General features: G+C 57.3%; 1 protein-coding gene, 1 long non-coding RNA gene and 2 pseudogenes across 4 annotated transcripts; 3 read left to right on the forward strand and 1 right to left on the reverse strand.

Annotated features, from left to right (window-relative positions):
• LINC01651 (long intergenic non-protein coding RNA 1651) lies at window positions 1-3,455 on the forward strand. Its single transcript, NR_170329.1, has 4 exons — window positions 1-237; window positions 1,089-1,147; window positions 2,340-2,434; window positions 3,281-3,455. It is a non-coding gene; the product is annotated as a long intergenic non-protein coding RNA 1651 (long non-coding RNA).
• Window positions 1,305-4,684, forward strand: CA15P3 (CA15 pseudogene 3; annotated as a pseudogene).
• FAM246A (family with sequence similarity 246 member A) lies at window positions 4,984-6,687 on the reverse strand. 3 transcript variants are annotated; one of them, XR_007067957.1, is made up of 2 exons: window positions 5,910-6,687; window positions 4,984-5,579 (listed from the first exon to the last, which is right to left on the reverse strand). XR_007067957.1 is itself a non-coding variant. In XM_047441116.1 (2 exons), exon 1 carries the CDS (start codon window positions 6,685-6,687, stop codon window positions 5,989-5,991), a length of 699 nt encoding a protein of 232 aa, XP_047297072.1. In that variant the 3' UTR covers window positions 4,984-5,579; window positions 5,959-5,988. The 3 variants fall into 3 exon arrangements, 2 of the variants coding, with proteins under 2 accessions (XP_047297072.1, NP_001382954.1); XM_047441116.1 differs by having other exon boundaries at window positions 5,959-6,687; NM_001396025.1 differs by lacking the exon at window positions 4,984-5,579 and having other exon boundaries at window positions 5,989-6,687.
• SUSD2P1 (sushi domain containing 2 pseudogene 1) lies at window positions 15,449-17,337 on the forward strand (annotated as a pseudogene).

Consider the following 27,871-nt stretch of genomic DNA (forward strand, 5'->3'; position numbering starts at 1 on the left):
ACACTTTGAGCCTGCCAAAGTGCCTTTTTTTGTGCCTTTCACATAAAGACTATGACACAGCTAAGCTATTCATGTACTAATAAATACCTGCCCTGAGCTGTGTGACCACGGACACCACCCTATAATGTGGCCAGTGTGTAGGAACTCTGCAGGCTCAGATCATTCCAGACATACATGCAGATGTTGGAACTCCCTTGCACAGTGACTCATGATCCCAAGGCTGAGTGCTGAGGGCAGGTCAGTAGTTCAGAGCCTCAGCATTGGGGCCGTATGCTTGGGTTCCCATCTTGGCTCCCACACTTTGGGAGCCCGAGGTGGGTAGATCGCTTGAGCTCAGGCATTCGAGACCAGCCTGGGCAACATGGTGAAACCCTGTTTCTACTAAAAATACAAAAATTTGCCAGGCGTGGTGGTGTGTGTCTGCATTCCCAGCTACTCAGGAGGCTGAGGTGGGAGGATGGCTTGAGCTGAGGAAGCAGAGGCTGCAGTGAACTGCCCTGCTGAGAGTGGAGCTCCTGCTCAGCTCCTAGGAAGGCAAGAGCCAGCAAGGCCACTGCCCAGGCCCCCGAGGGTTCTAGGGGGTCCCATCCCTGGGAAGGTGGAATCTGGGAGGTGAGGGGGACCTAGGACCCCATTGTGTGCACAGCTTGGGCTAAGGCATGAGATAAGACCAGGGTGACATTACAGGAGTATCCAAGAACTGACTTCACCTAACTTCTGCATTTGACTTCCCATCCCCAATGTGGGTAGGGCCCTGCCCTCTGGCGATTGGAAAGAGGCGCAGGGTGCAAAGAAGTCCCCTCCTCTGACCTCCTGCAGGGCTCCGTCTTGGCCTGGATCCGCAGGGGGGCCTGGGCAGGAGGGAGGCTGTGGTCTTGGGATGGGGTGGCAGTTCCAGGCCCACAGCGGGGCAAGAGACATCCTACACCTTCCTCCCATCCTTGCCCCGAAAGTCATGGGCGCTGGGGTTCAAGGTGCCCTCACTATTTGACCTTTCTTGCTGGTGGCTTTGGTGTGTCATTCTGGTCCCCAGCCTCTGTTTCCTGGACTGTAAGTGGGGATAATAATAGGTCACCCCTCCCCTGCAGGATTAACCTCAGCGATTGTTGCTGGCATCAGTGCAGCCCTGGGACCAGAGCACACCTGGGTGAGTTTGGAGCGCTCGCGCTCTTCCTGGTGGCCCTGCCTGGGCACTGACCCCTCCCATCCTCTCCTCAATAGCCACGCCCCTAGCCCAGCTAGCTAATGAATAAATATGTAGTAGCCAGGCCAGCATCCTGGCTCCGCGGTCTAGCCACTTTCTAGTCCTTCCTAGCTGCGGCTGCCACTGAGCCACGCACGCCCCTGGCATCATGCTCGCCTTGCGGTGCAGCTGGTGTGGTGCAGACTCTGAGAGTGAGCACCAGGACTCTTCCCGTCTGGTCTCCAATCTACCCTCTTGCCATGCTCCACCACCCCTTAGGTCTTGCCACTGGGAGTGGGGAGGGACTGGGGAGAGAAAATACTGGGGTAGGGGTGACAGGAGAGAAGGTTCTTCACTGGCCTCCCCTGGCCTAAGCCCCTGGCCTACTTCATTCTTGGACCCCAGCTGATGGGATGGGGCTTGGAGAGGGCCCAGATGACTGGCCTCTCAGCTCAGCCTCCTGCCCACTGTCTCTATAGGTGCCTGGTGCTACGACTCCCAGGACCCCAAGTGTGGTGAGGACAGAGTGTCATGTGAGGCTGAGTGAGATCAGTCTGTGTCCTGGGACCACCAGAGCATGTGCCAGTGGTGCAAGAGTGGCCAAGAGACAGTCTGCACCCTGCACTCTGTGGCCTTTGCAGGTTTCTGTCTGTAGTCGTCTGCCCCAGTAGACTGACTGGGCATCAGGTGCAAGTGTGTGACTGTCCCCCTGTGTGTGAGTCTGGGCCTGCTGTGATCGCCGGTCCCGAGTCAGTCAAGGCTGGTGTGCCTGTTACTGTGGCCAGCCCAAGTGTGTGCAGGTGATAGAGGTCCCAGTGTGGGTGTGCAACTGTGTGCCAGAGACTCTTTTGCCTTCATCTCACCATGGGGCAGCCAACCGGGAGACTAGATGGATAGGCCAGATGCAGGGTACAAGAGAAGGGGGATGCTGTGACCTGTTCAGGTGTGGGGGAAGCAGGGAGCTGGGTTTCCTGAGGCTGGGCTATCCTCTGGGTGTATGGGGGCCACTCTCTGCTGCACCCCCAGGCTGCCTCCCTGACCCCACCCCCACCCCAAAGGCCCCAGTCCTTGTTCCAGCAGTCCCCACCCACTGGAAGAAGCTGGCCCCTGCCTGTGGGGGCCCAGGCCAGTCCCTCATCGACATTGACTTTCACAGGGTCCGGCGGAACTCTACCCTAGGGCCCTTCATCTTCCGAGGCTATGACTCAGCACCTCCAGGCCCTTGGACCCTGGAGAATGACAGCCACACAGGTCAGCACCCTGTGGTCAGGACCCCTCCTAGGCAGGAGCAGGAGCCCCACACAGGGCATGAGAGCTCCTGAGTGTACACAGGGACCAGGACCCCCTACACACGGGAGCTGAGACACCCTACAGGGCCAAAAACCCTCCACAGGGGCTAGCTTCACAGGAAAGGAGCATCCTCACACAGCAGTCCAGATGCGCCCTCTGTGTAGGTGCCAGGTCCCACCCTACAAATCACAACCAGCCATGGCCCCTGAGGACCAGGAGTCAGGGTCTCTGGCAGGGCCAGGATCCCTGACCACACACAGCTGGGCTCAGAGCCCCACCCCAGGAGGGCTGCCCTCTGCCTTCTTCCATGCCATGCTGGGTGTGTGGGGGAGGGTTTCCCCTGCAGTCTGTGGAACTCTGCTCTGCTGACCAGCAGGAGCCATGGACACCATGGGTTCCATTCCATGGAGGCAATGGGGCCCCACTGGGGAGCAGCCTGGCCTGAGGAAGGGCCTCTGCTCGTACCCTGTGCCCTAATGGCACAAGGTGGGCAGGTGGTGAGGTAGAGAGGGTGTCGTGTGCCTCCTCCCCTTCATTGCTACTCTGAATGGACACTGATCCTCAGAACCACCTGGAGATTTGGGAGGCTGGGCTGCTGTTGCCTGTCTACCGCGCACTGCGGCTGCACATCAGCTGGGGGCGGGGGGGGCCCGAGGCGAGCAGACTCGGAGCACAGCCTGGACAGGCAGCGCCAGGCTATGGAGGTAGACTTGGGCACAAGGTGGGGTGGCCGGAGTGCTCCCACGGAGATGAGAGAGAGCAAGGTGGGGGCAGCTGGGTATCTCCCACATCTGTGCCTACCCCCAGATGCATGTGGTCCACAGTAACACAAAGTACCAGAGCATGGAGGAGGCACCACGCCACGGTGATGGGCTCGAGTGCAGGCCCTGCTGCTGGAGTTGCTGCTGGCGGTGAAGGCAGGGCTGTGATTCTATGTATGTTTCCAAAAAAGGGGTTCATGGGGATCCTGGAAGTGGACAGGCTAGGCCTGTGGAGTCCATGGGGGGATCTCTAGGGTCTATAGGATCTGTAGGAGGATAGGGCGGTGGGAATGCCTGAATCGGCAGGGCCAGTGGCGGCGAGAACCCTCCACCCCATTTCCCAGATGCCAGATGCCTCCTGCCACTGGGAACCTCCTGCTTAGAGTACCCCAGCTGAGTTCCCTCTTCAGAGACTCCCCCACTCAGAACCCCTTGCACTTGGAGCCCCTCCCAGGAGCAGGACTGTAGCAACACCAACTTCTGCGCCATAGTGTCGGGCTTGAGGAAAGTGCCTGAGCCAGGTGAGGAGCCACCGGGTCGTTTTCCGGCTCAGGGGCGGGGGGTTTGCTGGGGATGGCACCAGCAGGGCACGGGGAGGCTGGTTCCAATCCCCCTCCCTCTGCCGCCCAGGGCTCTCAGTGAATCTGAGGTCCACCTTCCTGCTGGCGTCGATGCGGCCCAACACCTCGAGCTACTGTCGCTTCGCTGGGTCACTGACCCCGCCTGACTGCGAGCCCACGGTGCTCTGGACCGTCTTCGAGGACCCCATACCCATCCGGTGGGTGCAGGTGGAGCCACCGTTCCCCCTCGCCCCCCACACCCCTCCCCGGGCCTTGCCTGGCTCCTCCCGCAGGCGCTGCCCCTCTCCCACCCCGTTTTGATCTCTTTGCCCTGCACCCTCAGATGACCCTGTTCCACAGCGTGCCCCAGGCTGGACCCTCCCACTTTCACCCCATACCGCTCACGGGTAACTTCCGCCCACAGCAGCCTCTTTTTTTTTTTGAGACGGGGTCTTGCTGTGTCGCCCAGGCTGGAGTGCAGTGTTGGAATCTCAGCTCACTGCAAGCTCCGCCTCCCGGGTTCATGCCATTCTCCTGCCTCAGCCTCCTGAGTAGCTGGGACTACAGGCGCCCGCCATCACGCCCGGCTAATTTTTTGTATTTTTAGTAGAAACGGGGTTTCACCGTGTTAGCCAGGATGGTCTCGATCTCCTGACCTCGTGATCCGCCCGCCTCGGCCTCCCAAAGTGCTGGGATTACAGGCGTGAGCCACCGCGCCTGGCCCACAGCAGCCTCTTAAGGGGCACGCAGTCTTGGCCTCCCCCAGAGCCTCGGTCCCCGCAGCAGCCCCCCGCTCTTCCCCCACCCTAGCAGGTGTGCACTGCGCTCTGATGCGCCTGGGGCTCAGCTTGTGGTTCTGTCAACCGTGGGCGACCCTCCATGTGAAATAATGAAATAATGCACAGAGTGACCTTAGCCTAATGTGGCCTGGAGGGGGTGGGTGCGTGACCCGGCGCGGTCCCCCACTGCAAGAGGGGCATTTCCTGCCCTAATCCCACTGAGGCCTCAGTGTGCCTGTCTGTTCCGTGGGAGCCCTCTGAGTGACCCTCTCCTACCTCAGCAGAACCCGGGCCTCTCCAGGTTCCTCTCAGAGGGAGAAGGGCCCCCACCCTCATCCTATACATTGTGTCTGAATCCCCTGGTCAGATGGAAGGAGAACATCTAGCAGTCAGAAATTCCACCATTAGGCCAAGATTACATTATTTTATTTTAAAACTAAGCTGGGTGGCCAACCCAGGGACACCGTGCTCTGCTAAATGATGACTCCAGCTACATTTCCCGAGGCCAAGAGATGAGAAGCTGCTGGCTCCAGGCTCCGCTGCAGGCTGCCCTGGCTGAGCGGGTGCTGGGCACCGCGGAGGGCTGCCTGGTGCTCTGAAGCCATGCCCCAGTGCCTCCCTGGGAGTTCTGCTGTGGAGTCTGTGTGGAGGGTGACTCTGGAGAGATGTTTGTGTCCCGGTGGCTGCCTGTGGTCTGGCTAAGTAAAGGGGTGAGTATTCTTGGTGTCACTGTCCAAAGCAAAGTTGTGTCCACGGGACACAGACTAGGTGAGGCTCTGTGTCCAGGTGATGCTGTCCAGTGAGAGGGGGTTGCAGTCAGAGTGAGGCTGACCGGAGGCCGCTGTCCAATTGGTGCCGTGTGGAATGTGATTACATACTGGTTGACACCGTCCTGAGGGCCATCACCAGCTGCGTGTCTCAGCCGCCCTGTGTCCCTGGGTTCTGTGCCCTTGTGTGTGGTTTGACACTATTCCAGTGCGTGGAGACCCTGCCTCGTCACTGAGACCTTGAAAGAAAAAGAACCTGCAGTCACCCCAAGGAAGAGGAGTCTCGGCTGTTCCCCTGGAGGCTGACCCAGCCCTGGCCCAAAGGCTGACCCAGACCCAAGGCCCAAAGGCCCAGCTCTAAGGTCCAAAGGGGCTCCACCCTGTTCTCTAGCCGGACTCAGTCTCTCGCAAGGACCCCGGCTCCCAGCCGCACTCCCCAGACGCACGTGGCCCACCCTCCGCCCGTCCCGCGCCCACCCCCTCCCTCCAGTACCGGAGCCCTAACTGGCGGCACCCGGGCACCCTTCTGACTCAGAGCCACGCTACACGAGGGGGACCGATCTGCTCACTTGCCCCGTCCTGGGGGTACCAGAGTAGCCAGCGCGACGCCTTCCGCACCTCGCCTAGGCTGCCCTTGTGCGGCCGCCCTCAGTCCCCGCCACCTTGCGGGGCCCCAGGCGGCACTGGCATCTTCTTGTGGTTCTTCCTGACCGGGGCTCGGTGCGCTCCGCATTCTGCTGGGCCGTCCGGGGCGTCGTCTGCGGGCCTGGAGGCGGCGACCAGGGCGCTCACGGTGCCGAGCGTCCGCAGCAGGGTCGGGCCGCGGGGCGTGGCGCGGGGGACGGCGCGGGGCTCGCGGCGGGCAGGCGGGGACGGCGGCGGCGGCGGCAGCAGCGCGCGCAGAGCGTCCAGCTCCGCTCGAAGCTCCGCGCGCAGCGCCTCAATCTCGGCGCCCAGCTCCTCGCGCACTGCCGCGAGTCCCTCCTGCAGCCGCCGCTCGCTGACCTCCAGGACCCCCGCCGGGTAGGTGGCCCTGCCGCGGGGCTCCCCGCATACTGAGCACACGGAGCCGCGGCTGTGCGCGCCGGTCCTCTCGCCCGCGCCCGCCGCCCCGGCCCCCGCACGCTCCACCAGCTTCAGCAGCCGCGGCACCTCGGACCGCGAAGCCGCTTCGGCCCGGAGCTGGCCGAGCAGGCGAGCCAGCCGGCCCGGGGCTCGGGCGTCTTCCTGGCCCGGCCCATTGGATTGCGGCCCCGGGTCCCGCCGGCGGCCCGTGACGCGCCGCAGCACCTCGCTGGCTCTGTACGCACTACGCGCCTGGGCCCACGGGCGGCCGGGCGTCGCCATCCGCCCTGCTGCCTCCACCGCCGCCAGCGCCCGGGATGGCCGGGAGCCCCAGGCTGCAGCCTAGCCATCGCTGGGGCCCAGGCGACGCACCGTGGAGGGGGCCCGCGGGACGGCTTTGGGAACGACCAAAGCCCTGGGGGTTCCGGCCTGGGGCGCAGGGAACCCTGGCAGGGCTGGGTCCCGGGCAGCCCGGTTCCCCGGGGACCCTGCGGGAACAACGACGTTGTGGGCAGGTCCTCACAAAGGGCATGGCCCAGTTTCTGGGCATAGGTGACATGGAGCATCGCCAGCCAAAGACCAGGCACCACCCGCTAGACACGAGTCAGGAACTGAGCTCACATTTTACACTAGAAGCTACTGTCTCCATCATAGTCAAGGGAAGGCCAGGAGTGGTCATGGACCCCACAGCCCTTTTCAATGGCTCAGGGCGACGTCCTTCCATGTAGTCCAGGCCATTATCTCCTCACCCTGTCCCCTAGTCCACACAGCTGGAGGAATCCATCCAGGTGGCATCTCCAGCCCCAAGCTGCTGGTCCTTCCATGCGAGCTCTTCAGGGTCTCCCTTACTCTCCAAGGTGGCCCGCCTAGGGCCTCTGGAAATCCCTGGCCATCTCAAGCTGGGTTTTTTGTTTTGTTTTGTTTTTATAAACAGGATCTTGCTGTGTTGCCCAGGCTGGAGTGCAGTGGTGCAATCATAGCTCACTGCAGCCTCCATCTCCTGGGCTCAAGCGATCCTCCCACCTCAGTCTGCTGAGTAGATGGGACTACAAGCGTGCACCACCATGCCCGGCTTTTTTTATTTTTATTTTTATTTATTTTATTTTATTTATTTATTTTTTTTGTAGTGATAGGGTCTCACTGTGTTTCCCAGGTTGGTCTTGAACTCCTGGCCTCAAGTGATCCTCCTGTCTTGGCCTCCCAAAGTGCTGGGATTACAGGCATGAGCCACCATGTCCAAGCCTGTCTGTGTCTTTAACCTCCTCTAATCCAACAGTCTTCTTCATCCTTCTGGGTCTTTGCACAGTTCCTCTCCCCCCAACCCCTGCCATTTTCCTGGTGGCTCTCACTTTTCCCACTTAGATAGGGAAATGTTCCATGACCACCCCATCCCACACTGGGGACCTCGAGCCCCTCCTCCACAGCACCCTTCACAGTTGTATTTAAATGACTCTGTTTTCCATCCACCCACTGTGGGGTCTCTGAGCCCAGGGCTGGGTCATTTCTCCTGGGCCGAGTGTGGCACTAAGCATGCTGAGTGCTAGCCTGCACAGAGGCCAGGCCCGGGTGGGCCCCAGGACACAGCTGTCAGTGGCTGTCTTGCCATGGAGTGAGTGGATGAATCAGCAGGGCTGGGATCCTCTCCCATTTTACAGTAGGAGGCTGGGGAGAGGAGCTGGCCAGCCCGTCCACCTCTGCAGCCTGGCATCTGAGGCCCTCATGGCATCCCTGCTGGTCTGCCTTCCCCTGCAGCCCTTCCACCCTCTGTGGAGCCCTCACTACTGCACCCTACTCCTTCTCACCCCAGTGCCTCTGCATAAGCAGTGCTGCCTGTGGCCGCCACAGGGCCCTAGGTATGGGCAGAGTAGTATCCCCCACACAGCATGCTGTTCTCCCTGTACCCCCAGGGGCTAGTTAGCACTCTGGGTGCCCTGGACCCTGGGGCCTCCCTCAGCAAATTGTGGAGGTTGGCCTGGCATGAATCCAGGCAGGTCTGGGAAGGGACATGGCAAGACAGCCCCTGGAAGCTGTGTCCCCGGGTCCACTGGGGTCTGGCCCCTGCAGATCAGTGCATGTGTGCATGTGTTGGGGGGGGGGATTGAGGGGACCGCTAATACTGTCCTCAAGCAGCTGCTGAGGAGAAGACTGGGTCCCTCTAGTCATGTTCATCCACTCAATCACTCCCTGCAGCTCGTCTCTCTGGAAGGTGCAGGAGGAGGTGAGAATTGGGCACTCTGTCAACCCCTCAGACTCCCCCATTCCTGCTGAGTCACCCGTCCTCTGGGACCTCCAGCAGCTGGCTCTGCTGATCCCTAGAGCCTCATTAGCCATTCTCTCCCTCCCCCCAGTCATTAAAACACTGCCAACAAGAGCGCCCTGGGTTCTTTTCCCCAGCCCTACTGGAGACGGGCTGTGTGACCCAGGGGCTCTGCCCTCTCTGAGCCAAGTCTTCACCTGTGAAATGAAGAGATCTCTGAGGTCCCCAGGAGGAGTGACAGGGAGGCCTGGATGGTGGAGAAGGTGTAGGAGAGAGTCCAGATTTGCAGAAAGAGCTGTTAGTTTTGTGATCTCTGCCTGGAGGTCTATGGACAGGCTGGAAGAGAACCTGAGCCATTGCAATGAGTCCAGATTAGGGCTTGTTCCTGCAGAGGCTACAGATGTGGGGGCTGGTACTTATGGCAGAGGGTCCCAAAGTCATGGGCATAGAGAAGACAGGTTGGCAGGAGCAAGGGCAGAATGGGAGCGGGGTCCTGGGGACCCTGTTGGGCCCTGAAGAGGACTGCAGAGGTGTTGGTGAGGGGTGGACAGGCAGGTGTGTCAGCACAACCCTGAGCCCCTGAGCTCAAGTGCAGGGATGGCCGTGAAGCAGGTGATGGGGACCCTGGCTTGAGCTTCATCGGTAGCGGGGCTGGGGTGGACACCGGGGACTGGCGGAGAGGAGATGGGGTGGGGGCTGGTCAAAGCAGTGTGTCCCTCAGGGAGCGTGGCAGAGCGGGGCGCGCACACAGGTCTGCTCTCCAGTTCCTCCGGGAAGTTCCTCAAATTCAGCCAGCTCCAGCTGCCCCTGGCACAGAGGAGCTGACTGAGGCTCCAGTGCAGGGCCTGCTCCTTCCCCTCCTGTTCCCCTCAGTGTGCCCTGGGCCGGGGGCCAGGCATGGTGGGGGTGGGGAGGCTGGCTGTGCCTGTGGGAAGCCACCGGCTCCCGGGGCTGTCCCTGGGCCCAGGCTGTAGCTCTGTGCATGCAGACGTGCAGGCTGGGTGGGCAACTGGCCACCTTGCCCGTCAGTAATGCATTCACAGTGGGGGGTCAGAGGAAACCCCAGGGCTCCTCTGCTTAGCTTGGCCAGGGGTCCCGATGGGGCAGTCTCTCCGTGTGACTTAATTGTCATCCCTTTTGTGCTCTATGGCTATTAAATAAAACTTGGCAGCCACCTTGGCTGGAGGTTTTATGTCCCAGAGCCCAAGGGCGGTTGGGAGCCAGGGGAGCGCTCAGACGGCAGGGCCAGGCGAGCTCTGTGTGTGGGAGGGGGTATGGGGGCCTCTGAGAGCTGCTGCAGGGACCCGGCAGGGCGGGGGTGGAGGCGGAGAGTGTGACTGTAGCTTCACAGTCATCAGAGTGGACGTGGAGATGCAGGCAGAGTCCTCGAAGCTGGCTCAGGGGTCTGTGTGGGGAGGGGGCACACCCAGCAGGGGCCTGAGGGTAAGCAAGGGAGGCAGCAGGGTCTTGGAGCTGCCTCCCAAAGGTGGTGGGGAGCCCCAGGAAGAGCAAGGAACAGGAGCAGCCGGCAGGTGCGGCTGATCCACCCTGAGGTCCCGGACACACTGGTGGGGACAGGAAGGCTCATCTTGGAGCTGCTCCTGGAGGGGCCATGTGGGTCACGGCCCCTGGCCCTCTGCTCAGACCACAGAGCACAGGACACTTGTCCAGCCTTTGCTGCGACTGTGCTGCTTGCTCTGGGAGCAGCTGCTGCTGGGCCTTTGGAGGAGGAGGAAGGGTGGCCTGGCTGGGACCCAGCCCCTGTGCCCAGCCTCTTAGAAGGGGAGGTGATGGTCCTTTTAGGCCCCAGGAGTGCAGGCTGCATAGTGGGGCCTCTGTACACATAAGCTGGCAGGTCTGGCTTGGGCTTTGCTCAGGACACTGGGTACTGGGTTCTGGGTTCAGAGGCCTCATGAAAACACCTAGCCTCAGTTTCCTCATCTGTCAGGACCAGCGGCTGGCTGGGAGGGTGTGTGTTAGCATGGCAGCGGCCAGCTTAGTCTACTCTAGGAGACCTTGCCTCCCCGACCCCTGAGCTGACCTCTTCTTTGAGAGCTTAGAGAGGAGAATGACTTGTTCCAGGTCTTACTGCAGGGTCTGGGGCTTCCTGTGGGGACTCAGGTGCACCTTGTCCCTGAATACCCCTGCCTTGCCCACTAGGCCCTGGAACTGTGCCCCGGCCTCCTGTGGCACTGGCTAGCCAGATCTCTGGGAACCGTCCCAGGGCAGGTGGCTCTGCAGGAGGCCAAATGATTACCCAGCAATGGCCTTGCCTGATGTGGGTAACGAGCTCATTACCTGGTGATGACCTTGTTTGTCTGCTCCTGGCATCAACAGCCTCAGCTCTCCCTGCAAGGAATGTCTAGCCTGGGGTGGGTCTGACCAGTCTGTGCCACAGGCACCAGCATCCCAGTCTGCACTGCATGGGGTGTCGGGCCTGACAGCATCTACCTATATGTGCCCTGAGGGCCCAGACTCAGCCCCCAGTGGGAAGACTCCAGGCTCCTGACGGACCCCTCCCAGTTGTACAACCTGAGCAGGTAAGCCCTGACCCACTCTGGGCCTCACTCTCACCAAGCTGGTGACAAAGATTCTCTGCTTGGTCAAGCTTTATTTAGGCTCCTGAGCCTTCTCCTAGGCACATCTGAGCACTTCCTTATAAACTCTAGTTTTAGCAAGAATTCTGCAAAGTCAGTTTAGCAAGAAGCCCCCCGTCCTTGACATCTGATCGGGTTCCCCCTCTGTCCCCCAGGTGCGGTCTGGCCATCCTGGCCGGCCTTCAGCAAGAATTCTGTTAGGGGAGTTAAGCCAGAATCCCTGGCTGCTGATGCTTCCTCTTAGTCACTTTCCATGCGCTGCCCCCCACCCTGCTCCTTGACTGTCCGATCGCACTTGCCCATGCTGTCTTCGAGGCTGAGCCCAGTCTCTTACCCACTGCAGAATCTCATCGCCATGGTCCCTTATGCCTAGTGACACGGTCCTGGATAGTCTTCCCCCTGCTCCTTGACGGTCCGATCCCACTTGCCCATGCTGTCTTCGAGGCTGAGCCCAGTCTCTTACCCACTGCAGAATCTCATCGCCGTGGTCCCTTATGCCTAGTGACACGGTCCTGGACAGTCTTCCCTACAGCGCTTTGGCAAGTGTCATTTTTCTTTTTTTCTTTTCTTTTCTTTTTTTTTTTTTTTTCTGAGACGGAGTCTCACTCTGTCACCAGGCTGGAATGCAGTGGCGCCATCTCGGCTCACTGCAACCTCCGACTCCCTGGTTCAAGCGATTCTCCCGTCTCAGCCTCCCGAGTAGCTGGGATTATAGGCACCTACCACCATGCCCAGCTAGTGTCAATTTTCACTGAATTATTTTTTTAACAGTGGGGACTAAAGAGGGTCCGCAAGCAGGGCTGCTGCTGGGCACCATGGAGGGCCACCTGGCGGGACATGCCCCAACCTACAGGGGTCCTTGAGGGCTCCCCTTCCCCTGCCAGCTGGGCTGGGGTCTCTGTGTCAGGAGTGTCCTCACCACCACCTGGGGATGGACCTCCACTGTCATCCTAGGGAAGGGGCCAGGGAGGGGAGTCTACATGCTGAGCGGGCCTGTCCGAGGCCTCTGCTATCCCAATGCAGCCCCCAGTATTTAGACCTGCCCCCAGTGACCTGCTCCCTCTTGCCCATCATTCCAGGAACTTCCTGTTCCACGCCTGCGCACATCCTGTCCCTAGGCCGGCTCCCCCTGCTCAGCCTCAGGACGCAGCCACCCACCCTCCCAGGAGCGCCTTCCCTGCCCCTGTGGCTTCCTGCTGGCACTCTCTGCACTGGGTTCTTCCTCCTGGTGTGTGGGGCCCTAGTCTCTGTCTCCTGTCGGGTTTGACTTCTACCAGAGCAGGGACCTCCCTGAGTCCTCATGGCCCAGAAAAGTGCCCAGCATGCAGTAGGCGCATCATAAATACCTGTCTACTATCATGTGGTGAACTGAGTGAAGACATCTCATTAAAGATGACATTAAAGAATAGGGCATAGGGCTTGGCATTCAGTAGGCACACAGTACATGATGGCTTTGTTATTTCCAGTCTGGGGTTGTGTTCATGCCTCAGTTTCCCACCTGGCCTGATAGGAGGGGCTCAGCTGCTGGGCTGGCTGTGTCTCTGTGCCCCTTGCCTGGAAATGCCTGACGAGGGGCAGGGTCCTCATCCCAGCCACATCCCAGGGGTTCCCAGCCCTCTGAACTTGAGGAGCTGTGGGAGGCGAAGGCTGCAGCCACCCTGTAGCACTGCAAACACAGGCTGGGGCGGGAAGGGGGGTACAGAGGGTGTGCACAAGGGGCAGGGGGAGGGAGAGGGTGGGCACAAGGGGCAGGGGGCAGGGACATGTCCCCATGCCCAGCTAATTTTTGTATTTTTAGTAGAGACGGAGTTTCACCATGTTAGCCAGGCTGGTCTTGAACTCCTGACCTCAAGTGATCCGCCCACCTAGGCCTCCCAAAGTGCTGGGATTACAGGCCTGAGCCACCGTGCCTGACCAAAAATGATTAAGTATTTTAAGGCAGCCACCACAGAGCATTAAACAAGCCCCTAGAGCTGGCCCCGCCCCCGAAGGCTCCAGGCCCATCTGTCTTGGGGATGCACAGGTTCCAGGGACCCAAACCCACCCTTCACAACTCTCTTCCCCTCCCAGCACCACAGGGGCCCTCCTGGCCCCTGGGACCTCCCATGGAGCAGGCTCTCTGTCCAGGATGGAGATGGGGACCCTCCTCACTGCCCTGTGCCCCTCATGGGCTGGACACACCCACCACCCAAGAAGAAAGGCCTAAAGGGCTGGGCACTGCCCTTTTGGAACCAGAGGCTTGGCGGCCCCATATGGGTCTGGCTGAACCCACCTTTGGGGGGCTGAGATGAGCCAGCCTCAGTTACTCAGCTGACGGCAGGGCCTGTGGTATGGAGCTTCCCAGACTGCACACCTAGCCCCTACCGGACTTCCATCGTCTCCAGACACGCGCAGCAAGGGTTCCCAGGCCAGAAACAGGAAGCAGCAGCTCTCCCTCCTCCAGTTCCTGGGAACTGTCTCAGACGAACCACCCGGAGCCTCACCTACAGGAGGATGGACACCTGCACCCAGTGCTGTAGGGAGCAACCTCAGCCCTGGGCCTGGGATGAATGCCCTCGCCAGCCTGGGGCCAGGAGACAGGCTCTCCGTGGCTCAGCGCCTGAGCATCCACTTACAGGACACTCACCTGCAGAGGTGCCCTGAGCACCGTTGTGGGTTAAGGGACTTTCTCCCCTCTGGAAACAGTCCTGAGAAGCTGAAGGTCTTGGGGGCCTCTCACCAAATGTCTTTGGGAGGTGGGAAGACATCAAATGCGGGTGTGGCTTCCCTGGAACAGCTCTGTGTGGGGACTCAGGAGCCAAGTCCCCCAGCACATGCCTCTAACACTTTCAGTAGGGGCCCACCTCTCTGGAGCCATGGGTGGCTGCCAACACCCTGTGGTTCCCAGCAGGCACCACCCAGGCAAGAGAGAGAACAGGCTGGGGAACAATGGGCTGGCCTGGCCGCAAGCGCTGGGGCAGATCACAGACCAGATGGCCTAAGCTCATGCCCTGGGGCCAGCTCTGACTCCCTGCAAGTGTGGCAAGGGTCCCTTTTGGACACCTTGAGAAGCTGCAGCTGGGAGAGGACCACCCGCCTGTCTGGACGTCCAGCCCAGGTGGCAGGGCCCAAGTGACCAGTCCCAGGCCACAGCCCTTACCACCCGCCCTGGCTGCAGGGGCTCCCAGAAGCCACCAAGGGCCTGGCTCGGCCTTGCCTGTCCGCATCTGAGCTTCAGTTTCCTCATCTGCTCAAGAAGGGAGGTGAACACTGATTAAATTATGCAAACTCTGAGCGGCAGGATTAGGTGTGGCTGGGACAGCCAAGGCTTCCCTGGGTGGTGGCATCTCTGGAGCCCGGGGATGGGACCTGTCTCCCTTCCGGGCCCCCAGCTGGGCACGCACCTGCCCCAGTCCCTCCCTGCAACTCTTCCTCCATGCCAGTCCCTGGAAATGTGGCCCTGCCGTGGGTCTCATGGCCCATAGGAGATGCTTTGGGCCCAGCACCCACAGCCCCTCGCAGTGTGCACCCCCACTTCCCTTTCCCCACTGCTGGGACACCTGCTTGAAATGTCCCTCCTCCCCCCAGAAAGGAGGGGAGCAGCCCTGGCCTTCTGCCCTGAGGGCGGAGCTCTCTTTGGGGTCTCAATTGCAGCCCCTGGGAGAGTGAGAAGGGTCAAGTTCAGACCCTGCACCATTCCCTACCAGGCCTCGAATGGGACTCTTGGCAGCTGTATCCCCCACCCCAGTCCAGGCAAGCAAAAGGGGTTCTTCTGCAGTCTTCAGGGCCCCCAGAAGGCGCACTGTTCACAGACACCCTGGGGAGCCAAGAGAGGTCGAGGGCTCCAGCTACCGTGGCCCTCTGAGGACCCCCGCCTGTGGGATAGAGGACTTGGTGGCTGAAGGGCAGTCATGCCCAGGGGGCTTCTCCTGACCCTGCAGGGCTGAGCGGGTGCAGCCTTTTGCCTCTTCTCGCTGCATTCTAGCCCATCAGTCAGGGCAACAGCCAGATGGTCTATGCTAAGATTCATCCCATCCCCACGGGCCCTGTGACTTTCTACCATATCAACGTGGTGGCCTGTGCAGTTCCCGGCCAGCATTTTCCTGGGGATGCTGCTGTCTAATGGGCTGTGGGAGAAACAGAGACAGGCCCTGCACATGGGGCAGCCAGTCCAGCACCCGCCAGGCCAGGCCCTCAGCATCCTCTCCTCCAGATGCCCAAGAGAGCTGCTCCATGCGCTGTGGCGCCCTGGACGGGCCATGTTCCTGCCACCCGACGTGCTCCGGCCTTGGTACCTGCTGCTTGGATTTCCAGGACTTCTGCCTGGAGATATTGCCCTACTCAGGATCCATGATGGGCGGCAAGGACTTTGTGGTGCGGCACTTCAAGATGTCCAGCCCCACAGACGCCAGTGTGATCTGCAGGTTGGGAGGCCCAGGAGGCCGGGCACTGGGGCCCCACGCCCCCATCCCTGTGCATGCTGAGGGCTCAGACCCACTGGCAGGCTGAATGGAGCCCCTCAGACCCAGGACAGGCAGGAGGGCACAGGACAGCTGGTTGGATGGGTTCCCCAGGGAGGTTGGGGGCCCAGACTGTCGAGATGCTCAGCCTGCAGTGGCCCAGCACCTCCTACCACCACCAGGCCCACAGGTTTGCATGCCACAGGAGAGCATCCAGACCCTCGGCCATGTGGACTCCTCCGGGCAAGTGCACTTCGTGTCGCCCCTGCTCTATGAGAGCGGCCACGTCCCCTTCACCATCTCACTGGACGATGGCCACTCCTTCCCTCGTGCGGGCACTTGGCTGGCTGGTGAGCCCTCCTCCCTGCCCACAGCCTGCCCCCACGGGGACTTTCCCCAGCGCTAATCTATGCACACCGAGACTTGGCCCGTCCGTGTCCTGCCTCTCTGGCTGAACCAATCCCTTGGGAGGCCTGCCCGCCTGCGAGAGTTCCTTCAGCTCCTTTCCACTCCCTGGCATCCAGACCACGGTCCCAGCCCAGAGTGAGTGGGAGCTGCAGGGGTCCCTAGAGAGGTGGGCCAGTGCCTATCCACTGAGCTCCGCCACACCAGGGCAGGGGAGAAGCCAGGTGGAGGCTAGAGGCGTGGGCAGTGGAGGGAGGGCAGGCCCCTGCCTCTCCGGCCTCAGCGTCCTTTTCTGCCATGAGGGCCGGAGAGACCATCACCCAGCTGCTGCCATGCATTGGCCCTGGAGGCTCCCACAGCCCTTGAAGCCTCAGGGCCTCCTCCCTGCTTCCCTGGGCCCAGCCCTCACTCACCCCTCACCTCCCCTGCCCAGTGCACCCCAACAAAGTGTTGATGAAGGAGAAGAGTGAGTTGATGAACGAGATGCATTGGCAATACTACGGCACCGCCAACACCTCAGGCAACCTCAGCCTGACCTGGCACGTTGAGGCGCTGCCCACACAGACACCATCAAGCTGTGGGGCTATGAGGAGACAGGTGAGGCCAGCTGAGGGCTAGGGTGGCATCCAGAGCTTTGGGCCCCCAGAGGTGGGAGAAAGGGAGTCCCAGCTGTGTGGGAGGAGGAGGAGAGTTTCCAGGTGGGGTTGAGGAGGGAAGGGAATTCCAGGCGGAGATTGAGGATTCGGATGGAGGGAAGTGCAGGCCAGGGGGGTCAGGCAGGTGGGAGGGGGCAGCTGCATGGGGCCTGGGTCCCGGGGAGGAGGCTCATGAGGAACCCCTCACGGCTGGCATGGCCCTGGGCCCGGCTTCCAGCAGGGACAGGGATCCTGGAGTGTGGCAGGAGGTGGTGGTCACCCAAGCCAGGGTCCCTGCTAGAACAGCCCCTCCTAAGGGGACCGCCTGGCAGTCCATCCACACATGTGTCAGGCTGCTCTAGGTATCAAGGCCTGGGGCCAGGCCTCGAAGGAGCCCCAGGGCTAACCAGGCCTTCTCTCCCTCAGGAATGCCCTACTCACAGGAGTGGACTGCAAAGTGGTCGCACCTGTACCCCCCAGCCACACACATCCCCAACTCCGGCTCTTTCACCTTCACCCAAAAACCTGCTCCTCCCAGCTACCAGAGATGGTGAGTGGGTGCACTTTGGATCATCAACAACAAAAATTACGCAGGGCAGGCTGGTTACGGTGGCTCACGCCTGTAATCCCAGCACTTTGGGAGGCCAAGGCGGGCGGATCACGATGATGTCAGGAGATCAAGACCATCCTGGCCAATGTGGTGAAACCCAGTCTCTACTAAAAATACAAAAAATTAGCCGGGCGTGGTGGCGGGAGCCTGTAGTCTCAGCTGCTCAGGAGGCTGAGGCAGGAGAATGGCGTGAACCCAGGAGGCAGAGGTTGCAGTGAGCCAAGATCGTGCCACCGCACTCCAGCCTGGGCGACAGAGCGAGTTTCAATCTCAAAAAAATGATAAAGAAAAAAAGAAAGGGCACATCCACTCTATGGAGTTCTCCCTCAAATCCTGTAACCCTAGTCTTATCATGGGCAAGCATCAGACAAACCTAAATTAGGGGACATTCAACAAAATAACTGTTCTTCAAAAGTGTCAAAGTCACAAAAGACATTGACAGACTGGGGAGTCACCACATATTGGAAGGGAGTAGGAGACACAGAGATTAAATGCCACCTGGTGTCCTGGGTTGGATGCTGGAACAGAAGCGGGGCATGTGTGGGAGACCTGGGAAATCCAGACGAAGTCTGAAGTTTAGGTAATAGGATTATATCAATATCTGACTCAGTTTTGACACATCAGCCTGGTTACTGCAGATGTTAAAATCCAGGGAAGCTAGGTGAAGGGTATATGGGAGCTCTGTGCTGTCTTTGCCACTCTCTGTAAGTCTAAAACCATTTCAAAAGAAAATGATTGAAAGTTGCTAGGATTCTCTCTCTGTTGCTGCACCTTATCCGTGGAAACCTCGTTTCAGGGATGATGCAGTGTGTGATTGCAGTCGCGGACAAAATATTCGATGCCTTCCTGAACATGATGGCGGTCCAGAAAAACAGATACACAGGGCCAGGCGCGGTGGCTCACGCCTGTAATCCCAGCACCTTGGGAGGCCGAGGCAGGTGGATCGCGAGGTCAGGAGATCAAGACCACAGGGAAAGCCCATCTCTACTAAAAATACAAAAAAAAAAAAGGCCAGGCGTGGTGGCTCACGCCTGTAATCCTAGCACTTTGGGAGGCCGAGGCAGGCAGATCATGAGGTCAGGAGATCGAGACCATCCTGGCTAACACGGTGAAACCTCGTCTCTACTAAAAACACAAAAAATTAGCTGGGCGTGGTGGCGGGTGCTTGTGGTCCCAGCTACTCGGGAGGCTGAGGCAGGAGAATGGCGTGAACCCGGGAGGCGGAGTTTGCAGTGAGCGGAGATTGTGCCACTGCACTCCAGCCTGGGAGACAGAGCGAGACTCCTTCTCAAAAAAAAAAAAAATAAAAAAAGAAAAAATTAGCCGGGCGCAGTGGCGGGCCCCTGTAGTACCAGCTACTCAGGAGACTGAGGCAGGAGAATGGCGTGAACCCGGGAGGTGTAGCTTGCAGTGAGCCGAGATCGCGCCACTGCATTCCAGCCTGGGCGACAGAGCGAGACTCCGTCTCAAAAAAAAAAAAAAAAAAAAAAAATAGAGGTACACAGGCACCACCTGCCCCCAAGGAGCTCACAGCATCTTGAAGAGGCACCAAGGAAAACACCAGACGGTGTTGAGGGTTTGATGAGGTGTGGGGGCTCAGAGGAGGGGCCTCGCAGAAGCTGGGGGAGGAACCAGGGATGGAAGGAGTTCCCCAGTAGGCAAGAGGACAAGGAAAAGAAAGTGCCTCTGCTGGGGCAGGAAATGGGCACTGGACACTTATACCCTTCATTGGCACCATAGAGCAGTGCTAACATGTTCCATTTGATAGGAGAGAAAACTGTGGCCCTGGGAGAAGTGGCCCATTACTAGGCTAGGAGCTGGGTACCAGGAATTGGACCTCATCTAGAGCATGCAGGTGAGGCTTTGCCTCAACCTCGCTCTGACTACCTGAAGCCTCATCTCCCACATCCCTCGCTTCCCACAATCAGTGCTGTGCCACATCACACCCCCCACTGTGCCCAGGCTGTTCCCTCTGCCTGTGGTGCCTTTGCCATTCCCTCCCACTACACTCCCCATGTCCATCGTGGCAGGGACTCAATTTATCATGCTCCCTTAGGTAAGCTGACAGGAAGATGCATGCTGGACCCCTTTGATTTTTTTTTTTTTTTTTTTTTTTGAGATAGGGTCTGGCTCTGTCACCCAGGCTGGAGTATAGTGGTGTGATCATGGCTCAGTGCAGCCTCAACCTCCTGTACTCAAGTTATCCTCCCACTTCAGACTCTCAAGCAGCTAGAACTACAGGTGCACACCTCCATGCCTGGCTAATCTTTGGGAAAAAAATTTATAGAGACAGTTTGTCTCTATATTACCCAGGCTGGTCTGTAACTCATGGACTCAAGAAATTCTCCCACCTCAGCCTCCCAAAGTACTGGGATTACAGGTGTTAGCCACCACACCTAGCCTGGACCCTTTTGAGTGCAAAGGCAGCACCCAGCATCTCTGTGACTCCCCCAACAGCCCGCTGGGTCAGAACTGCTATCAACCCCATTTACAGAGGAAAAAACTGAGGCTCAAGCTGTTCCTCAGCTTCTCAGTCATCTGGCTGGTCAGAGGCTCAAGCCCAAGTCTGTTCTTGGACTGTGAGGGCCAGACCAAGTCCTGAGGGGGCTTAGATAACCTAAAGGACTCCCTCTTTCTTTCCTTTCTCCCTCCCACCTTCCTTCCTTTCTATCCTCCTTCTTCTCTCTTTTCCTTCCTTCTCCTTTCCACCTTCCTTCTACTCCATTCTCTGTGCTTAGTGAATGAAGAAATTAACACATTACTTGGCCCTTGTCCTCCCCTGTCTAGATTGCATGCTTAACAAACATTTGATGAAGGACTGTCCTCTGACCTAGAGCTATGGCCAAATGACAGAACAAATGGTCATTGCTACTCGTGCCTTTGGGAAGTGGGCAAAGCCTCAAGTTTCAGGCTGCAGAGGAAGGAGGGTGATTGAAATAGATCCAGCCCGGGAGCGGTGGCTCATGCCTGTAATCTCAGCACTTTGGGAGGCTGAGGTGGGCAGATCACCTGAGGTCAGGAGTTTGAGACCAGCCTGGCCAACGTGGTGAAACCTCGTCTCTGCTAAAAATACAAAAACTAGCCAGGCGTGGTGGCATGCGCCTGTAATCCCAGCTACTTGGGAGGCTGAGGCAGAAGAATCGCTTGAATCCAGGAGACAGAAGTTACAGTGAGCCAAGATTGCGCCACTGCACTCCAGCCTGGATGATAGAACGAGACTCCATCTCAAAAAAAAAAAAAATAGATCTAAAGGGAAGAGAAATGGAGATGCTACAAGACAGAAGATACGTCTGTCCTGGCAGCAGTGTGGAGCTGGGAAACAGAGACGCTGACAGCAGCAATGGGGATCTCAGGAAGCAGTGCCTGCTTGTTCAAAGGCTCAGGGATTACAGTAACACTCAGGCTGCCAGAGCCAGAGGGCAAGACCCTGCAAGCACCAGTTCAGAGCCCAGACTCAGGTCACACAGACCTGCCCATAAGTCCCTGTGTGACCCTGGACAGTTTCCTTCTCTGGAGAGGAGAGTGCCAGGCTCCCTGGCTATGGGGAGGATTCAGCGATGAGGCTTGTAAAGTGCAGATGGGAAGGGGCTGACCACTCGCTGCAGAGGCACATGAGCTAGGGAGCTGGGCCAGGGCCACCAGGGCAGGAAGCCAGCCCAGTAGGCCAGGGGGCCCCAGCCAGAGAGCTAGAAGCTCGCACCATACTGCCCTCCTGGCCCAGGAAGATGTGGACCAGCCAGGCAGGCTGCAGGGCCCAGGAAGAGCAGCACGGTCCCTCTCCAGGTATCCAGCCCCATCCAGTGCTGGGGGATGGAAGGAACTCCACTGGAACTCAGCGGGTTAGGGTCTGGCCAGGTAACCCTCCCTCTCTGAGCTCCAGTCCTCCCTGCACCCTCAAACGAGGGTCATGATAGGACGGGAAAATATCAGTGCAAGAAGGGATGTGAGTGCCCTGAGGGTGGTGGGCATGGGTGAGGGCTGGTACAGATAGCCAGACTGCAGGAGGCTGGGGGTTTGCAGCTCCAGTTCCCACTGCCTGAAATCGCCTCCCAGCTCCTCTGGCAGCCCTCACTCCCTCTCCTTCAGCTCTCAGCTCTTGTGTTTCCTCCTTGCCTCATGCAGGAAGCCTGCTCTGATGCGGCTCTTCTCCCCATGAGCACCACATTCCTCACCCAGAGCACTCGCCCAAGCGCCAATGTTACTACATTCCATTGTTGTTTGTATTTAACCTTTGCATTCTCCCCCAAACTGAGCCCTGAGGAACCCAGTTTGAAAACCATTCATGTAATCCATCACTTTCATTTATTGTTTGTTTGTTTGTTTGTTTGTTTATTTTGAGACAGAGTCTTGCTCTGTCACCCAGGCTGGAGTGCAGTGGCACAACCTCAGCTCACTGTAACCTCCACTTCCTAGGTTAAAGCAATTCTCCTGCCTCAGCCTCCCGAGTAGCTGGGATTACAGGCAACTGCCACCACGCCCGGCTAATTTTTGTGTTTTTTAGTAGAGATGGGGTTTCACCATGTTAGCCAGGCTGGTCTCAATCTCCTGATCTCAAGTGATCCACCCACCTTGGCCTCCCAAACTGCTGAGATTAGAGGCGTGGGCCACCATGTCCAGCTTCACTTTTATTTCATAGGTGAGAAAGCTGGACCGGGAGAGGGTAGGAGCTTGGTGAGCCCATGCTGGGACACCTGCCTCCCAGTCTGCAGCTCATTCTCATAGGTCATGGACTGTCAATTCCCTAAGGACAGCAGCCACATCTGGCCTGTCTGCCTCTGTCTTCTTCAGTCCTGTATTTACTGAGCACCTATCATGTGCCAGGCACTGTTCTAGACATGGAGGAGACAGCAAAGAACAGACAGAAAACACATAGAAACAAAAATAAAAAATATGTGGCTGGGTATGGTGGCTCATGCCTGTAATCCCATCCCTCTGGGAGGCTGAGGTGGGAGGATCACTCGAGATTAAGAGTTTGAGACCAGCCCAGGCAACATAGGGAGACCCTGTCTCTACAAAAAAAAAAAATTAAGTGTTTTTTGTTTGTTTTTTTTTTTGAGACAGAGTCTCACTTTGTCGCCAGGCTGGAGTGCAGTGGTGCTATCTTGGCTCACTGCAAGCTCTGCCTCCCGGGTTCACGCCATTCTCCTCCCTCAGCCTCCCAAGTAGCTGGGACTACAGGCGCCCGCCACCACGCCTGGCTATTTTTTGTATTTTTAGTAGAGACGGGGTTTCACCGTGTTAGCCAGGATGGTCTCGATCTCCTGACCTCGTGATCCGCCTGCCTCGGCCTCCCAAAGTGCTGGGATTACAGGCGTGAGCCACCGCGCCCGGCCAAAAATTAAGTTTTTAATAAATAAAAATAAAGGATATGGAATGAAAAGCTGGGGGAGCTACTGTAGCAATGGGGGATGGGAGGCTTAAACCCTCCTGCAGGCTCTCAGGATGGAGCCCATTCCCCTCCTCAAGGCCAGGCAGGCTCTACAAAGCTTGGGGCTTTGGTAGCCGAACAGAAATGGAGCCAGGCCATGCCGGCAGGAGAAGGATGTGAACCAGGTTGCCCAGGAACCCAGACTCCATGGCCCAAAAGTCATAGACTGGGGTTGTAGAGAGAGGGAAAGTGGAATACAGAGCTGGCGATGTGGAGCCAACTGAGATGTAAGGGGGACATATCGCCTTCTCTCCGGGTCAGGGAAGTCATTACGTACTGGGATGGGGTATGTGTGTGTCGTGTGTGTGTGAGCACACAATGGGCAAGAGGTCCTCTAACCCAGGGGTTCTCAAACTTGTTTCAAGGAGCATAATGCTTTATTAAACCAAAACCCTTCTTCGAATCTGATAAGTGACACTTAAGAGTAGATCTGCCGGCCGGGTGCTGTGGCTCACACCTGTAATCCCAGCACTTTGGAAGGCCGAAGAGGGTGGATCACGAGGTCAGGAGATCGAGACCATCTTGGCTGGCATGGTGAAACCCCATCTCTACTAAAAATACAAAAATTAGCCGGGCTCGGTGGCGGGCGCCTGTAGTCCCAGCTACTCGGGAGGCTGAGGCAGGAGAATGGCATAAACCCGTGAGGCGGAGGTTGCAGTGAGCCAAGATTGCACCACTGCACTCCAGCCTGGGTGACAGAGCGAGACTCCGTCTCAAAAAAAAAAAGAGTAGATCTGCCCATTGAAGCAAGTAGGGGCACTGTCTCTCCCCATCCGCTTCCTGCATACCTCCTCCCAAAAGGCCTATGGTATTTCTGTTTTATTTATTTTTATTATTATTATTGTTTTTATTTTGGGGGGTTGGGTTTTTGTTTTTTTGGTTGTTTGAAACAGGGTCTGGCTCTTTCGTCCAGGTGGAAGTGGAGTGGCACAATCTCAGTCCACTGTAACCTCTGCCTCCCAGGCTCAAGGTATCCTTCCATCTCAGCCTCCCAAATAGCTGGGACTACAGGCGTGCACCACCATGCCAGGCTAAATTTTGTAATTTTTTTATAGAGATGCAGCCTTGCCGTGTTGTCTAGGCTGGTCTTGAACTCCTGAGCTCAAGTGATCTGCCCGTCTCAGCCTCCCATAGTGGTGGGATTACAGGCATGAGCCGTCACATCTGGCCTGTTGTTAATTTTTTTTCTTTTTTTTTTGACTCAGACTCTCACTCTGTTGCCCAGGCTGGAGTACAATGGCGTGATCTCAGCTCACTGCAACCTCCACCTCCTGGGTTCAAGCAATTCTCCTGCCTCGGCCTCCCGAGTAGCTGGGATTACAGGCACTTGCCACCATGCCCAGCTAATTTTTGTATTTTTAGTAGAGACAGGGTTTCACCATGTTGGCCAGGCTGGTCTTGAACTCCTGATCTCAAGTGATCCACCCACCTTGGCCTCCTAAAGTGCTGGGATTACAGGCATGAGTCACGGCGCCCAGCCTACAAAAAAAAAAATTTTTTTTTTTTTTGAGATGGAGTCTTGCACTGTCACCCAGGCTAGAGTGCAATGGCATGATCTTGGCTCACTGCAACCTCTGCCTCGCGGGTTCAAGCGATTCTCCTGCCTCAGCCTCCCGAGAAGCTGAGTCTACAGGCGCCTGCCACCACACCCAGCTAATTTTTTGTATTTTTAGTAGAGATGGGGTTTCACTATATTGGTCAGGCTGGTCTTGAACTGCCCAAAGTGCTGGGATTACAGGCGTGAGCCACTGCGCCCAGCCAGCACAGGAGTTTTGACCTGCTCCTTTTCGTTTTCCTTTTTCTTTCTTTCTTTTTTTTTTTTTTTTGAGATGGAATCTCACTCTATCGCCCAGGCTGGAGTGCAGTGGTGCAATCTCAGCTTGCTGCAACCTCCACCTCCCAGATTCAAGCAATTCTCCTGCCTCAGCCTGCCGCGTAGCTGGGATTAGGCGTGCATGCGCCACAATGCCTAGCTAATTTTTGCATTTTTAGTAGAGACGGGTTTTCACCATGTTAGCCAGGCGGGTCCCGAACTCCTGACCTCAGGTGACCTGCCCACCTTGGCCTCCCAAAGTGCTGGGATTACAGGCATGAGCCACCGAGCCCGGCCAACCTGCTCCTTTTCTAACCTGGGCCAGTTCACCTCTCCTTAGACAAGCTGGTGGTTTCCTGCTCCCAGGAAGTCACCAATTTATGCCAAATTTAGTGCAGACACCCCATCAGTATAGTACATTACAATCCAGAAGTCCTGGATCCAAGCAAGCCTCCTGCCTCAGCCTCCCAAGTAGCTGGGAGTATAGGTGTGTGCCCAGCAGTTCTATATTTCCAAGGAACCCTGGAGCCCTAAAGAACCCAGTTTGAAACCACCACTTTCAGGCTGGGCATGGTGGCTCATGCCTGTAATCCCAGCACTTTGGGAGGCTGAGGCCTGTGGATCACTTGAGGTCAGGAGTTCAAGACCAGCCTGGCCAACATGGCGAAACCTCGTCTCTACTAAAACTATGAAAATCAGCTAGGCATGGTGGCAGGTGTTTGTAATCCCAGCTATTTGAGAGGCTGAGGCAGGAGAATCACGTGAACCCAGGAGGTGAAGATTGCAGTGAGCCGAGATCATGCCACTGCACTCCAGCGTGGGTGACAGAGTGAGACTCCATCTCAAAGAAAAAAAAAAGAAACCATCTCTTTCATTTAATAGGTGAGAAAGTTGAACCTGGAGAAGGCAGCAGCATGGTGAGCTCATGCAGGGACTCCTGCCTCCCTGCAACTCATTCTCATATGTCCTGGGCACCAGTGATGTGCTAAGTCACATGCAGGGATGCAATAGGGACAAGGGAAAACATGGCTTCTGCTCTCCCCAAGATCAGAGTTGATGGGGGTGACAGGCAGGTCACTGGACAATCACTGCACAACATGATGAGAACAGGGATGGCAGAAACCCAGCCCTGGGGAAGCCTGGCTTTGCTCATCCACTCAACCAACATTCCCGAATGCTTTTGACATACTTTGGGGCAGCTGCTGGATGGTAACTGTGGGGTTCCCAGAGACCCATCCACCCCAGTGTCCTTTTTCTTGGTGACAGCCTACTCTCTTTTTTTAATTTTAATTTTAATTTTTATTTTTGAGATGGAGTCTCGCTCTGTCGCCCAGGCTGGAGTGCAGTGGCGGGATCTCGGCCCACTGCAAGCTCCACCTCCTGAGTTCATGTCATTCTCCTGCCTCGGCCTCCCAAATAAGTGAGACTACAGGTGCCCGCCACCATGCCTGGCTAATGGCTAATTTTTTGTATTTTTAGTAGAGACGGGGTTTCACCATGTTAGCCAGGATGGACTCTACCTCCTGACCTCGTGATACGCCTGCCTTGGCCTCCCAAAATGCTGGGATTACAGGAGTGAGCCACCGCACCAGGCTTTTTTTTTTTTTTTTTTTTTTTTTGAGACAGTCTTGCTCTGTTGCCCAGGCTGGAGTGCAGTGGTGCCATCACAGCTCATTGCGACTTTGACCTCACCTTGCAGGCTCAAGCAATCATTTCATCTCAGCTGGAAATGCAGACTGGGTCTCGCTCACTCTGTTGCCCAGGCTAGTCTCAAACTCCCGGGCTTAAGTGACCCTCCCATCTCAGCCTCCTGGGTAGCTGGCACTACAGGCATGCACCAGCACGCCCAGCTAAAATTTTTTTTGTAGAGACAGGGTCTCTCTATGATGCTCAGGCAGGTCTTGAGTTCCTGGGCTCAAGTGATCCTCCCACCCTGGTCACCCAAAGGGCTGGGATTACAGGTCTGTGCCACCATGCCCGGCCCAGCCTGCCCTCCTGACCTGACAGTTGAGGCCCTACTGGAGACTGCAGCAGGGCATCCAGGCTGTGAAACCCCACCCACCAGCTCTGCCTCAGTTGCCCATGTGCCCTGGCAAGCCAGTGGCTCTCACTGAGCCTCAGGTTCTCTTCCGTAAAACAAGGCTGTGATGAAGATTCTCTCAAGATAGTCCTCCCTGTGGCTACCATGTCCAGGAGCCCAGCACCAGTTCAAGGCTAAGGCCATCCCTGCATCTCACCTCCCCTTCCTCTCACATACACACTACATCTGCCTCACCTCTCATAAAGAACATCTGGGCTGGGCACGGTGGCTCACGCCTGTAATCCCACCATTTTGGGAGGCCAAAGTGGGCGGATCACAAGGTCAGGAGATCGAAATCATCCTGGCCAACATGATGAAACCCTGTCTCTATTAAAAATACAAAAATTAGCTGGGCGTGGTGGCGCATGCCTGTAATCCCAGCTACTCAGGAGGCTGAGGCAGGAGAATCACTTGAACGAGGGAGTCGGAGGTTGCAGTGAGCCGAAATCGTGCCACTGCATGCCAGCCTGGTGACAGAGCAAAACTCTGTCTCAAAAATAAAATAAAATAAAATAAAATAAAATAAAATAAAATAAAGGGCCATGCGCGGTGGCTCACGCCTGTAATCCCAGCACTTTGTGAGGCCGAGGCGGGCAGATCACAGGGTCAGGAGATCAAGACCATCCTGGTTAACATGGTGAAACCCCATCTCTACTGAAAAATACAAAAAAAATTAGCCAGGCGTGGTGGCGGGCACCTGTAGTCCCAGCTACTTGAGAGGCTGAGGCAGGAGAATGGCGTGAACTCAGGAGGCGGAGCTTGCAGTGAGCAGAGATTGCGCCACTGCATTCCAGCCTGGGCGACAGAGCGAGACTCCATCTCAAAAAAAAAAAAAAAAAAAAAGAACATCTGGAGCCATAATTCCCGATGTTCTTGTTACTTGACACTGCCTAAAGGCATGTTCTGTGGGTTCCGGGGAAACTGATTTGAAAAACTTGAGTGTTGTAAAGGAGGGCCATAAGCTGAGTGAACACAGCAGTTGTGAGAGGTCCCAGGTGCTTCCTGGGGACAGGGAGACACGACAGACCAAGAAGCAAAGGGGCCTCTGATGTGACTTCAATATCAAGGTCTTGTCGGGCACAGTGGCTCATGCCTGTAATCGCAGCACTTTAAGAGGCCGAGGCGGGTGGATCACTTGAGGTCAGAAGTTCAAGACCATCCTGGCCAACATACTGAAACCCTGTCTCTACTAAAAAGTACAA

This window comes from Homo sapiens, chromosome 22, assembly GCF_000001405.40.
Source record: "Homo sapiens chromosome 22, GRCh38.p14 Primary Assembly".
Taxonomy (NCBI): Eukaryota; Metazoa; Chordata; class Mammalia; order Primates; family Hominidae; genus Homo; species Homo sapiens.